The sequence below is a fragment of the Homo sapiens genome, chromosome 3, assembly GCF_000001405.40.
Source record: "Homo sapiens chromosome 3, GRCh38.p14 Primary Assembly".
Taxonomy (NCBI): domain Eukaryota; kingdom Metazoa; phylum Chordata; class Mammalia; order Primates; family Hominidae; genus Homo; species Homo sapiens.
In genome coordinates, this window is record NC_000003.12 from 145,247,523 (window position 1) to 145,260,120 (window position 12,598).

Below are 12,598 nucleotides of genomic sequence, written 5' to 3' on the forward strand. Positions count from 1 at the left end.
TGGTCTCGATCTCCTGACCTTGTGACCTGCCTGCCTCAGCCTCCCAAAGTGCTGGGATTACAGGCATGAGCCACCGTGCCCGGCCTCTTTCTTTAGCTTTCATAACATTTCCTTTATCTATCTGGGTGCTCCTGTGTTAGATGTATGAGTATTTAAAATTATTATATCCTCTTGCTGAATTGACCCCTTTAACATTCTGTAGTGAAATTTTTTGTATCTTCTCATAAATCTTGCCTCAAAATCTGTTTTGTTTGACATAAGTATAGTGACTTCTGCTCCTTTGTGTTTCCATTGGCATGGAATACCTTTTTCCATCATTTTATTTTAAATCTATGTGTGTCTTTATAGATCAAGTGTGTTTCTTGTAGGCAACAGTTCAATGGGCTTTGCTTTGTCATCCATTCAGCCAGTCTTTGTCTTTTGTCTGGAGAGTTTAGTTCATTTACATTTAATGTTAGTATTGATAAGTAGAGACTTAACCCTGATATTTTGTAATTTGTTTTCTGGTTGTTTTATGGTATTCTCTTCCTTCTTTTTTTTTTATTCTGTCTTCTTTGAATGAAGATTATTTTCTCTGGTACTATGATTTAGTTTTTTGCTTTTTATTTTTTATGTATACACTGTATGTTTTTTGGTTGGAGCTTACCACAAAGCTTTCAAATACTAGCTTATAACTCATTATTTTAATTTGATAACAACTTAACACTATTTGCATAAACAAGCAAAAAGAAAACTAATAAAAATCAACTTTATTTCTCCACTTTTTAACTTTTGTTGTTTGTATTTATGTCTTATTGTGCTGATTGTCTCTTGAAATTTTTTTGTAGTCATTATTGTTGATTGGCTCATTGTTTAGTCTTTATTCTTAGGATAAGAGTAGTTTACCCACCACAGTTACAGTGTTATAATATTCTGTGTTTATCTGTGTGCTTACTATTACCAGTAAGTTTTTTACCCTCAGGTAATTACTTATTGTTCATTAATATGATTAATGTCCTTTTCTTTCTGATTGAAGCACTCTCTTTAGCATTTTTAGTAGTATGTGTTTGGTATTGATGAAATCCCTCAGCTTTTGTTTGGAAGTCTTTATTTCTCCTTCTTGTTTGAAAGATATGTTTGCTGCATATATATTCTAGGGTAATTTTTTTTTTCCTTCAGCACTTTAAATATTCCACACCACTCTCTCCAGGCCCATAAAGTTTTCACTGGAGAGTCTTCTGCCAAACGTACTGAAGCTCCATTGTATGTTATTTTGTTCTTTTCTTTTGCTACTTTTAAGACCCTTTCTTTATCTTTGACTTTTGGGAGTTAAAATACCTTGAGGAAATCTTCTTTAGGTTAAATCTGCTCAGTGTTCTATAATCTTGTATTTGGATATTTATCTCTATCTCTAAGTTTGGGAAGTTGTTATCCCTTTGAATGAACTGTGGCCTCTTTAAGGCCAATAACTCTTAGAGTTGCCCTTTTTTGGCTATTTCCTAGATCCCATAGGCTTGCTTCTTTTTTTTATTTTTTATTTTTTGTCCTCTGACTGTGTATTTCAAAAGGCCTGTCTTCAAGCTCACTATTTTTTTCTTTTGCTTAATTCATTCTGCTATTAAACAACTCTGATGCAGTTTTTAGTATGCCAGTTGCATTTTTCAGCTCCAGGATTTCTGCTTCTTTTTAATTATGCCAATCTCTTTGTTAAAAGTACCTGATATAATTCTGAATTTCTTCTCTGTGTTATTTTGAATTTGTTTTAGTTTAATCAACACAGCAATTTTGAATTCTGTGTCTCAAAGGTCATATATCTCTGTTTCTCCAGGATTCATTCCAGATGCTTTATTTAGTTCATTTGATGAGTCCATGTTTTCCTGGATGGTGTTGATGCTAGTAGATGTTCTTCAGTGTGTGGGCATTGAAGAGTCAGGTATTTATGTAGTCTTCACTGGAAGGCTGTCCAGATATTTGAAAGGACTTGGGTGTTGAAATCTAGGCTGTTTCCACTTTAGAGAGTACCTGAAACTCAGTAACATGGTGGTTCTTGCAAACTTGTAGAGGTACAGTCTTGATGGTCTTGGACAAAATCCAGGAGAATTCTCTGGGTTAACAGGCATAGACTCTTGTTCTCTCCTCTTACTTTCTCACAAACATACAGAGTCTCTGTCTGAGCCACCTAAAACTTGGGGTGGAATGACACAAGCAGGCCTGTGGCCATCATTACTATGTCTGTGTTGGGTTGGACCTAAAGCTGTAATAGCACTAGGTGTCACTCAAGTCCCCTTTACTTTTCTCTCTGCTTTTCTCAGGCAGGAGTTTTGCCCCATAGCAATCACAGCTGGTTATATCCTGAGTCTCACCTGAAGCCAGCAAGCGTCAGAGACTCATGAGGTCCTTGGTGTAGTAGCTGGGTATAGTTGCTGGTTATTCAGGGCCAAGAGGCTCTTCAGTTAGCAGATGATGAATGCTGGCCGAGCTAGGTCCTTTCCTTTGAGGTAGCTGATTTCCTTCTATCCCAGAGCGTGTCTAGAAATATCATCTGTGGGTTAGGGGCTGGAACAGGGGCCTCTTGACTCTGATCAGTGCCGTATCCTACTGTAGCTGAGCTGTTTTCTAAAATGCAAGGCAGAGTCCTCCCCACTCTTTCCTCTCTTCTCCTCAAGCAGAATGAAGGGATATCTTTTGGAGCCCTAAGCTGTGAAGCCTGGGGTTAGAGGAGGAGTGATGACAGCACTCCCTTGGCTGCCCTTGGCTGTAACATGCCTCCCCTAGTCCACAGCCTCTGGACCTAGCTCAGACATAAGACTTTCCTATGAGCTATGGTTCTTATGGCCTAGATTACCTTTCAGGTTTACTTAGAGACCAATAGTACTTTGGTTGGTGAGGTTTGCAGGCACTCAAGTTCAAAATGCTAGATTTTGCAATTCCCTTCTGGCTAGGGCTGGTTTACATGCTCCCTCCATGGGCATGCAACAGCTGAATTTTGTCTGGCTTGCCTTTCTGCTCTAACGGAATAGCACTGAGTTTAATGCCTCACAACTGGTGTGTTCTCTCTTTCTAAGCATCAGAGAAGCTCTCTGTACCATGTCTTTGCTGCCAGGGGTGGAAGGCGGGTGGTGGCAGTGATTCAAGACTGTTTTTTCTATATCTTTAGTGCCTCTCTCAGCAGTATGAAGTTAAAACCAGATACTGTGAGTGCTCACCTGATTTTTGGTTGTTATAAAGGTATTTTTTTTCCATGTAGATAGTTGTTAACTTGGTGTTCTTGTTGGAAGTGTGGGTGATTGGTGGAGCTTTCTACTCTGCAATCTTCCTCTGTCTCTTTATATATTTATTTTTCTTAATAAATGGGTAGAATAATTTTTTTCCAGGTTGACAGTAATTTTTTTTTTTTTTTTGCCAGATTGTAAGTTTGTCACATGAAATTACCCCAGGAACCAATAAAACAAATGTCCGTGTTTTAACAGTCCTTGAGATCCACATCTCAGGCAACAGAGTTTATTTAGTTGGCTAAAGCAGGCAAATTCACCTAAGCATAGCTGTAGAGATTCATTTGGCTCTGAATTGAGATCCAAGGCCCTTTCACTGCAATCCAAAAAGAGTTTTTTGTCTCCAATTAAACTAATATTTTTCTTCTTATTAGAAAAACATGTTTTCTGTTTTTATGAACATTCTGAAACATCATTAGACCCTTAAGAACTCAAGCTATGTCTGCACTTCATCCAAAAAACTAAACAACATTTTAATTTTACAGGAATTATTTTCAGCAGAATTTTAATTTTGCTTATTAATTTCTTAGTTTCTCCTACATTTTGAATAACTTATTTTAAATTCTTTTCAGGATTCTCACTCTGGTAAGGAGAAAACTATCGAGTTCAGATTCTACATGAAGAAGCCCTGAACTCAGCAAGTCATCACATAAAAATGTTAAGAGGTCTATGTCTCACAAAAAAATTCAAGCCCAAGCTGGACTGAGGGTAAATTAGCTCAAACTCAGAAAGAATTCAGCTCAACAGCTAATAGGATTAAGGCAATTATCCCCAAGTCTAGATGTCTAGCAGAGGCCAATAATCCACCATATTAGAAGATAGCCATATCTGGAACTTACATGATTTTTATTTAACCATTGCCATTCTGGTTCTGGCCATGATGGAGAAGCTAGTATCAGATTTCACTCCCATAATAAACAAATATAAAAATGACCAATACATATGAAGCAACTATTTTCAGACTTCAACAGTGATAAACATAGGACTGTGCTCATTGAGAAATGATAAACACAAGTCCCACTTTTACCAATTTTATTCTTAAGACATTTGCATAAGTGTATCACAGAGAAGTGGAGTCAAAGTAGGAAGCAGCAATTTTGATATTGGAAGAAAAATGGATTAGAGTTTAAAGACACCAGCACAGAAAGAAAGCCCTAAACTTAGGAGGTGAGCAGCAGAGAAAGTCCTAAACTTTTTTGTAGGGTTTTTTCCTTAGGTCGCTGTCCAATTTTTAAGATGCATACGCAGCTGGCAAGGCTTTTGGAGGTTTGGTATTGAACAGCTTCTGCATTCACTCACTGCTAGGAAACCCTGAATTTCTGACTTAGCCAAGGTTCAAAGACCATACAAGTGTCAGGCATGTATTTAAGACCACTGATATGGTTTGGTTGTGTCCCCACTCAAATCTCACCTTGAATTGTAATAATCTTTATGTGTCAAGGGCAGGGACAGGTGGAGATAACTGAATCATGAGGGTGGTTCCCCCATACTGTTCTTATGGTAGTGAATAAGTCTCAGGGTATCTGTTGGTTTTACAAATGAGAGGTCCCCTACACAAGCTCTCTGGCCCACCACCATGTAAGAAGTCCCTTTGCTCTTCCTTCATCTTCCTCAATGATTGTGAGGCCTCCGTAGCCATGTGGAGTTGTGAGTCCATTAAACGTCTTTCCTTTATAGATTACCCAGTCTCGGGTATGTCTTCATTAGCAGCATGAGAACAAACTAATACTTTTAATTAAGCTGAGCACTCTTTAAGAAAATCCTTTTAAATTCCTTATTACCCAATTTCAGCCATGACAAGTGGCCAATATTTCTGGCTTTCTTTTTTTTTAAATTTAATTTTATTTATTTATTATTATTATACTTTAAGTTTTAGGGTACATGTGCACAATGTGCAGGTTAGTTACATAAGTACACATGTGCCATGCTGGTGTGCTGCACCCACTAACTCATCATCTAGCATTAGGTATATCTCCCAATGCTATCCCTCCCCCCTCCCCCGACCCCACAACAGTCCCCAGAGTGTGATGTTCCCCTTCCTGTGTCCACGTGTTCTCATTGTTCAATTCCCACCTATGAGTGAGAATATGCGGTGTTTGGTTTTTTGTTCTTGCGATAGTTTACTGAGAATGATGATTTCCAATTTCATCCATGTCCCTACAAAGGACATGAACTCATCCTTTTTTATGGCAGCATAGTATTCCATGGTGTATATGTGCCACATTTTCTTAATCCAGTCTATCATTGTTGGACATTTGGGTTGGTTCCAAGTCTTTGCTATTGTGAATAATGCCGCAATAAACATACGTGTGCATGTGTCTTTAAAGCAGCATGATTTACAGTCCTTTGGGTATATACCCAGTAATGGGATGGCTGGGTCAAATGGTATTTCTAGTTCTAGATCCCTGAGGAATCGCCACACTGACTTCCACAATGGTTGAACTAGTTTACAGTCCCACCAACAGTGTAAAAGTGTTCCTATTTCTCCACATCCTCTCCAGCACCTGTTGTTTCCTGACTTTTTAATGATTGCCATTCTAACTGGTGTGAGATGGTATCTCATTGTGGTTTTGATTTGCATTTCTCTGATGGCCAGTGATGGTGAGCATTTTTTCATGTGTTTTTTGGCAGCATAAATGTCTTCTTTTGAGAAGTGTCTGTTCATGTCCTTCACCCACTTTTTGATGGGGTTGTTTGTTTTTTTCTTGTAAATTTGTTTGAGTGCATTGTAGATTCTGGATATTAGCCCTTTGTCAGATGAGTAGGTTGTGAAAATTTTCTCCCATTTTGTAGGTTGCCTGTTCACTCTGATGGTAGTTTGTTTTGCTGGGCAGAAGCTCTTTAGTTTAATTAGATCTCATTTGTCAATTTTGGTTTTGTTGCCATTGCTTTTGGTGTTTTAGACATGAAGTCCTTGCCCATGCCTATGTCCAGAATGGTAATGCCTAGGTTTTCCTCTAGGGTTTTTATGGTTTTAGGTCTAACGTTTAAGTCTTTAATCCATCTTGAATTAATTTTTGTATAAGGTGTAAGGAAGGGATCCAGTTTCAGCTTTCTACATATAGCTAGCCAGTTTTCCCAGCACCATTTATGGAACAGGGAATCCTCTCGCCATTGCTTATTTTTCTCAGGTTTGTCAAAGATCAGATAGTTGTAGATATGCGGCATTATTTCTGAGGGCTCTGTTCTGTTCCATTGATCTATATCTCTGTTTTGGTACCAGTACCATGCTGTTTTGGTTACTGTAGCCTTGTAGTATAGTTTGAAGTCAGGTAGCGTGATGCCTCCAGCTTTGTTCTTTTGGCTTAGGATTGACTTGGCGATGCGGGCTCTTTTTTGGTTCCATATGAACTTTAAAGTAGTTTTTTCCAATTCTGTGAAGAAAGTCATTGGTAGCTTGATGGAGATGGCATTGAATCTATATATTACCTTGGGCAGTATGGCCATTTTCACGATATTGATTCTTCCTACCCATGAGCATGGAATGTTCTTCCATTTGTTTGTTTCTTCTTTTATTTCACTGAGCAGTGGTTTGTAGTTCTCCTTGAAGAGGTCCTTCGTGTCCCTTGTAAGTTGGATTCCTAGGTATTTTATTCTCTTTGAAGCAATTGTGAATGGGATTTCACTCATGATTTGGCTCTCTGTTTGTCTGTTGTTGGTGTATAAGAATGCTTGTGATTTTTGTACATTGATTTTATATCCTGAGACTTTGCTGAAGTTGCTTATCAGCTTAAGGAGATTTTGGGCTGAGACAATGGGGTTTTCTAGATATTCAATCATGTCATCTGAAAACGGGGACAATTTGACTTCCTCTTTTCCTAATTGAATACCATTTATTTCCTTCTCCTGCCTAATTGCCCTGGCCAGAACTTCCAACACTATGTTGAATAGGAGTGGTGAGAGAGGGCATCCCTGTCTTGTGCCAGTTTTCAAAGGGAATGCTTCCAGTTTGTGGCCATTCAGTATGATATTGGCTGTGGGTTTGTCATAGATAGCTCTTATTATTTTGAAATACGTCCCATCAATACCTAATTCATTGAGAGTTTTTAGCATGAAGGGTTGTTGAATTTTGTCAAAGGCCTTTTCTGCATCTATTGAGATAATCATGTGGTTTTTGTCTTTGGTTCTGTTTATATGCTGGATTATGTTTATTGATTTGCATATATTGAACCAGCCTTGCATCCCAGGGATGAAGCCCACTTGATCATGGTGGATAAGCTTTTTGATGTGCTGCTGGATTCGGTTTGCCAGTATTTTATTGAGGATTTTTGCATCAATATTCATCAAGGATATTGGTCTAAAATTCTCTTTTTTGGTTGTGTCTCTGCCCGGCTTTGGTATCAGGATGATGCTGGCCTCATTAAATGAGTTAGGGAGGATTCTCTCTTTTTCTATTGATTGGAATAGTTTCAGAAGGAATGGTACCAGTTCCTCCTTGTACCTCTGTTAGAATTCGTCTGTAAATCCATCTGGTCCTGGACTCTTTTTGGTTGGTAAGCTATTGATTATTGCCACAATTTCAGATCCTGTTATTGGTCTATTCAGAGATTCAACTTCTTCCTGGTTTAGTCTTGGGAGAGTGTATGTGTTGAGGAATTTATTTATTTCTTCTAGATTTTCTAGTTTATTTGCATAGAGGTGTTTGTAGTATTCTCTGATGGTAGTTTGTATTTCTGTGGGATCGGTGGTGATATCCACTTTATCATTTTTTATTGTGTCTATTTGATTCTTCACTCTTTTTTTCTTTATTAGTCTTGCTAGCGGTCTGTCAATTTTGTTGATCCTTTCAAAAAACCAGCTCCTGGATTCATTAATTTTTTGAAGGGTTTTTTGTGTCTCTATTTCCTTCAGTTCTGCTCTGATTTTAGTTATTTCTTGCCTTCTGCTAGCTTTTGAATGTGTTTGCTCTTGCTTTTCTAGCTCTTTTAATTGTGATGTTAGGGTGTCAATTTTAGATCTTTCCTGCTTTCTCTTGTGGGCATTTAGTGCTATAAATTTCCCTCTACACACTGCTTTGAACGCATCCCAGAGATTCTGGTATGTTGTGTCTTTGTTCTCGTTGGTTTCAAAGAACATCTTTATTTCTGCCTTCATTTCATTATGTACCCAGTAGTCATTCAGGAGCAGGTTGTTCAGTTTCCATGTAGTTGAGCGGTTTTGAGTGAGATTCTTAATCCTGAGTTCTAGTTTGATTGCACTGTGGTCTGAGAGATAGTTTGTTATAATTTCTGTTGTTTTACATTTGCTGAGGAGAGCTTTACTTCCAAGTATGTGGTCAATTTTGGAATAGGTGTGGTGTGGTGCTGAAAAAAATGTATATTCTGTTGATTTGGGGTGGAGAGTTCTGTAGATGTCTATTAGGTCTGCTTGGTGCAGAGCTGAGTTCAATTCCTGGGTATCCTTGTTAACTTTCTGTCTCATTGATCTGTCTAATGTTGACAGTGGGGTGTTAAAGTTTCCCATTATTAATGTGTGGGAGTGTAAGTCTCTTTGTAGGTCACTCAGGACTTGCTTTATGAATCTGGGTGCTCCTGTATTGGGTGCATATATATTTAGGATAGTTAGCTCTTCTTGTTGAATTGATCCCTTTACCATTAAGTAATGGCCTTCTTTGTCTCTTTTGATCTTTGTTGGTTTAAAGTCTGTTTTATCAGAGACTAGGATTGCAACCCCTGCCTTTTTTTGTTTTCCATTTGCTTGGTAGATCTTCCTCCATCCTTTTATTTTGAGCCTATGTGTGTCTCTGCACATGAGATGGGTTTCCTGAATACAGCACACTGATGGGTCTTGACTCTTTATCCAATTTGCCAGTCTGTGTCTTTTAATTGGAGCATTTAGTCCATTCACATTTAAAGTTAATATGGTTATGTATGAATTTGATCCTGTCATTATGATGTTAGCTTGTTATTTTGCTCGTTAGTTGATACAGTTTCTTCCTAGTCTCGATGGTCTTTACATTTTGGCATGATTTTGCAGCGGCTGGTACCGGTTGTTCCTTTCCATGTTTAGCACTTCCTTCAGGAGCTCTTTTAGGGCAGGCCCGGTGGTGACAAAATCTCTCAGCATTTGCTTGTCTGTGAAGTATTTTATTTCTCCTTCACTTATGAAGCTTAGTTTGGCTGGATATGAAATTCTGGATTGAAAATTCTTTTCTTTAAGAATGTTGAATATTGGCCCCCATGCTCTTCTGGCTTGTAGAGTTTCTGCCGAGAGATCCGCTGTTAGTCTGATGGGCTTCCCTTTGAGGGTAACCTGACCTTTCTCTCTGGCTGCCCTTAACATTTTTTCCTTCATTTCAACTTTGGTGAATCTGACAATTATGTGTCTTGGAGTTGCTCTTCTCAAGGAGTATCTTTGTGGCGTTCTCTGTATTTCCTGAATCTGAATGTTGGCCTGCCTTGCTAGATTGGGGAAGTTCTCCTGGATAATATCCTGCAGAATGTTTTCCAACTTGTTTCCATTCTCCCTGTCACTTTCAGGTACACCAATCAGACGTAGATTTGGTCTTTTCACATAGTCCCATATTTCTTGGAGGCTTTGCTCATTTCTTTTTATTCTTTTTTCTCTAAACTTCCCTTCTCGCTTCATTTCATTCATTTCATCTTCCATCACTGATACCCTTTCTTCCAGTTGATCACATCGGTTCCTGAGGCTTCTGCATTCTTCACGTAGTTCTCCAGCCTTGGTTTTCAGCCCCATCAGCTCCTTTAAGCACTTCTCTGTATTGGTTATTCTAGTTATACCTTCTTCTAAATTTTTTTCAAAGTTTTCAACTTCTTTGCCTTTGGTTTGAATGTCCTCCCATAGCTCGGAGTAATTTGATCATCTGAAGACTTCTCTCAGCTCGTCAAAATCATTCTCTGTCCAGCTTTGTTCTGTTGCTGGTGAGGAACTGCATTCTTTTGGAGGAGGAGAGGCGCTCTGCTTTTCAGAGTTTCCAGTTTTTCTGCTCTGTTTTTTCCCCATCTTTGTGGTTTTATCTACTTTTGGTCTTTGATGATGGTAATGTACAGATGGGTTTTTGGTGTGGATGTCCTTTCTGTTTGTTAGTTTTCCTTCTAACAGACAGGACCCTCAGCTGCAGGTCTGTTGGAGTACCCAGCCGTGTGAGCTGTCAGTCTGCCGCTGCTGGGGGTGCCTCCCAGTTACGCTGCTCGGGGGTCAGGGGTCAGGGACCCACTTGAGGAGGCAGTCTCAGATCTCCAGCTGCATGCTGGGAGAACCACTGCTCTCTTCACAGCTGTCAGACAGGGACATTTAAGTCTGCAGAGGTTACTGCTGTGTTTCTGTTTGTCTGTGCCCTGCCCCCAGAGGTGGAGCCTACAGAGGCAGGCAGGCCTCCTTGAGCTGTGGAGGGCTCCACCCAGTTCCAGCTTCCCCACTGCTTTGTTTACCTAAGCAAGCCTGGGCAATGGCGGGCGCCCCTCCCCCAGCCTAGCTGCTGCCTTGCAGTTTGATCTCAGACTGCTGTACTAGCAGTCAGCGAGACTCTGTGGGCGTAGGACCCTCCGAGCCAGGTGCGGGATGTAATCTCCTGGTGCGCCGTTTTTTAAGCCCGTCGGAAAAGCGCAGTATTCGGGTGGGAGTGACCTGATTTTCCAGGTGCCCTCTGTCACCCCTTTCTTTGACTGGGAAAGGGAACTCCCTGACCCCTTGCGCTTCCCGAGTGAGGCAATGCCTCGCCCTGCCTTGGCTCGCACACGGTGCACGCACCCACTGACCTGCGCCCACTGTCTGGCACTCCCTAGTGAGGTGAACCCGGTACCTCAGATGGAAATGCAGAAATCCCCCGTCTTCTGTGTCACTCACGCTGGGAGCTGTAGACCGGAGCTGTTCCTATTCGGCCATCCATCAATATTTCTGGCTTTCAAGGTTTACTAAAGGTAACTTCCCAGGTGCTGAGAGAAAAAAAAATTTAAGGCGGTTCATGGAGGGGAAGAGAGTCAACAAATGGTAAAGTTCACATAGATATCAAAACAGAAAGGACTCATTCCCTAAGCCAAGATTGAACCTGGGCCACCATTACAAAATGCAGGAGGCTAAAACAAAGCACTGCCACATGGTTACATGTCACACTTCCAAGGACATAAAACAAGATGTAGGTCTGCAGCAAAGTTTGCCATTGAACAGTTTGCTGGGCTGGCTTGAACAACAGGGTTATGGAGTCATAGGCCTACATTCCTTCCTAAGGTATCCCTCTTTCTGACAGAATCATACAGAAAGACACACAAAGCACACCAGATTGGCTGCAGCTTAAGACATACGTCACAAATCATTTTTTATAATTAAAACTTTACAGAGAATATAAACAGTGATAGTTGGGGTCCTGGCCTACTAATACATCTTCTAAAAGGAAAAAAGAAAAAGGCCTCTCACATAAAAGTTAATTCCTGGTCTAGTGGGGAATAGAAAAAAAAAACCAGCTGAAATTGCAGGGCTGTGTTAACTGCTGACAGAGTGTAGAAAATAAAAAAACAACTTAAAGTGCAGGGCTGGAAAGATGTCTTGAGGAAGACCTTCCTATTCTTATGCAAATGAGCTTCTCCAAAAGGGAGAGAAAAGTTTAATTGCTGTTTCTTCCCTGGGGCTCCATCCAGCCAGACTCTTTGGCTGGGGAAGGGGGAGACACTGTGGACTCCTGGCAGGGAACACTGGCCAGCCTGCTGTATAGGGGGGCCTTGGGCCATGTGTCCCATCCCCAGCTGTGAGGGAAGGTGAGGTGAGCCACGGCTCTCCTGTTTGTCCCATGTGCACACCTATGGCCATTAGGGTAAAGATAAGATAGGTGCCATTACAGTCCCAAATAGAAGAAAAATATCATAGAAATGATGGAGTTTGAGCGAGGCCAACATTCCTAAATCCTGAGAGTTTTGGCAGGTTGCTGGGTGCAGTTTCCTCTATCCTCAGAAGAAGTCTGCTGACAAGAAAAAGCTCAAAAATGAAAGGGAAAGAGATTTTTTGGTCTGCATTTTACTCACATTTTCTCATATCCTTGTATGGCACCAAAATGATGCAGAATTTTTTGCTCCCTACGTCAGCTAAAATTTAGGTTCTTGTCTCAATACTAGGAAAACTTAGGCACATGGACACACTGAAAGGTGAGGAGAGTGGAATTTATTTTTAAAAAGCTCTCAGAAAACAAGAGTGGGGTCCTGCCAACAGGCTCCCACCTCAAAGACTGAATACTAGGCCATCACACATCAGCTGAAGAGATGAGGCTCCCCCCTACTGAATAAGGTATGACTTCCCAGTGGCTCCACCCCATTCTCCCAGTGTGCAGGTGGGCCCTTAGTCTCAGCCACTCCACATTGATTTATTTTTCTTACTACACATGTGTTAAGGGTGGA

The 12,598-nt window shown here is 40.4% G+C and overlaps 1 annotated feature.

Annotated features, from left to right (window-relative positions):
* Positions 10,418–10,956: an enhancer, noted in NCBI's record as "NANOG-H3K27ac-H3K4me1 hESC enhancer chr3:144975727-144976265 (GRCh37/hg19 assembly coordinates)". NCBI's record gives its function as "activates a minimal SCP1, AML or CMV promoter by ChIP-STARR-seq in naive H9 embryonic stem cells {active_cell/tissue: H9 hESC(naive)}" and the evidence as "EXISTENCE:reporter gene assay evidence [ECO:0000049][PMID:30033119]".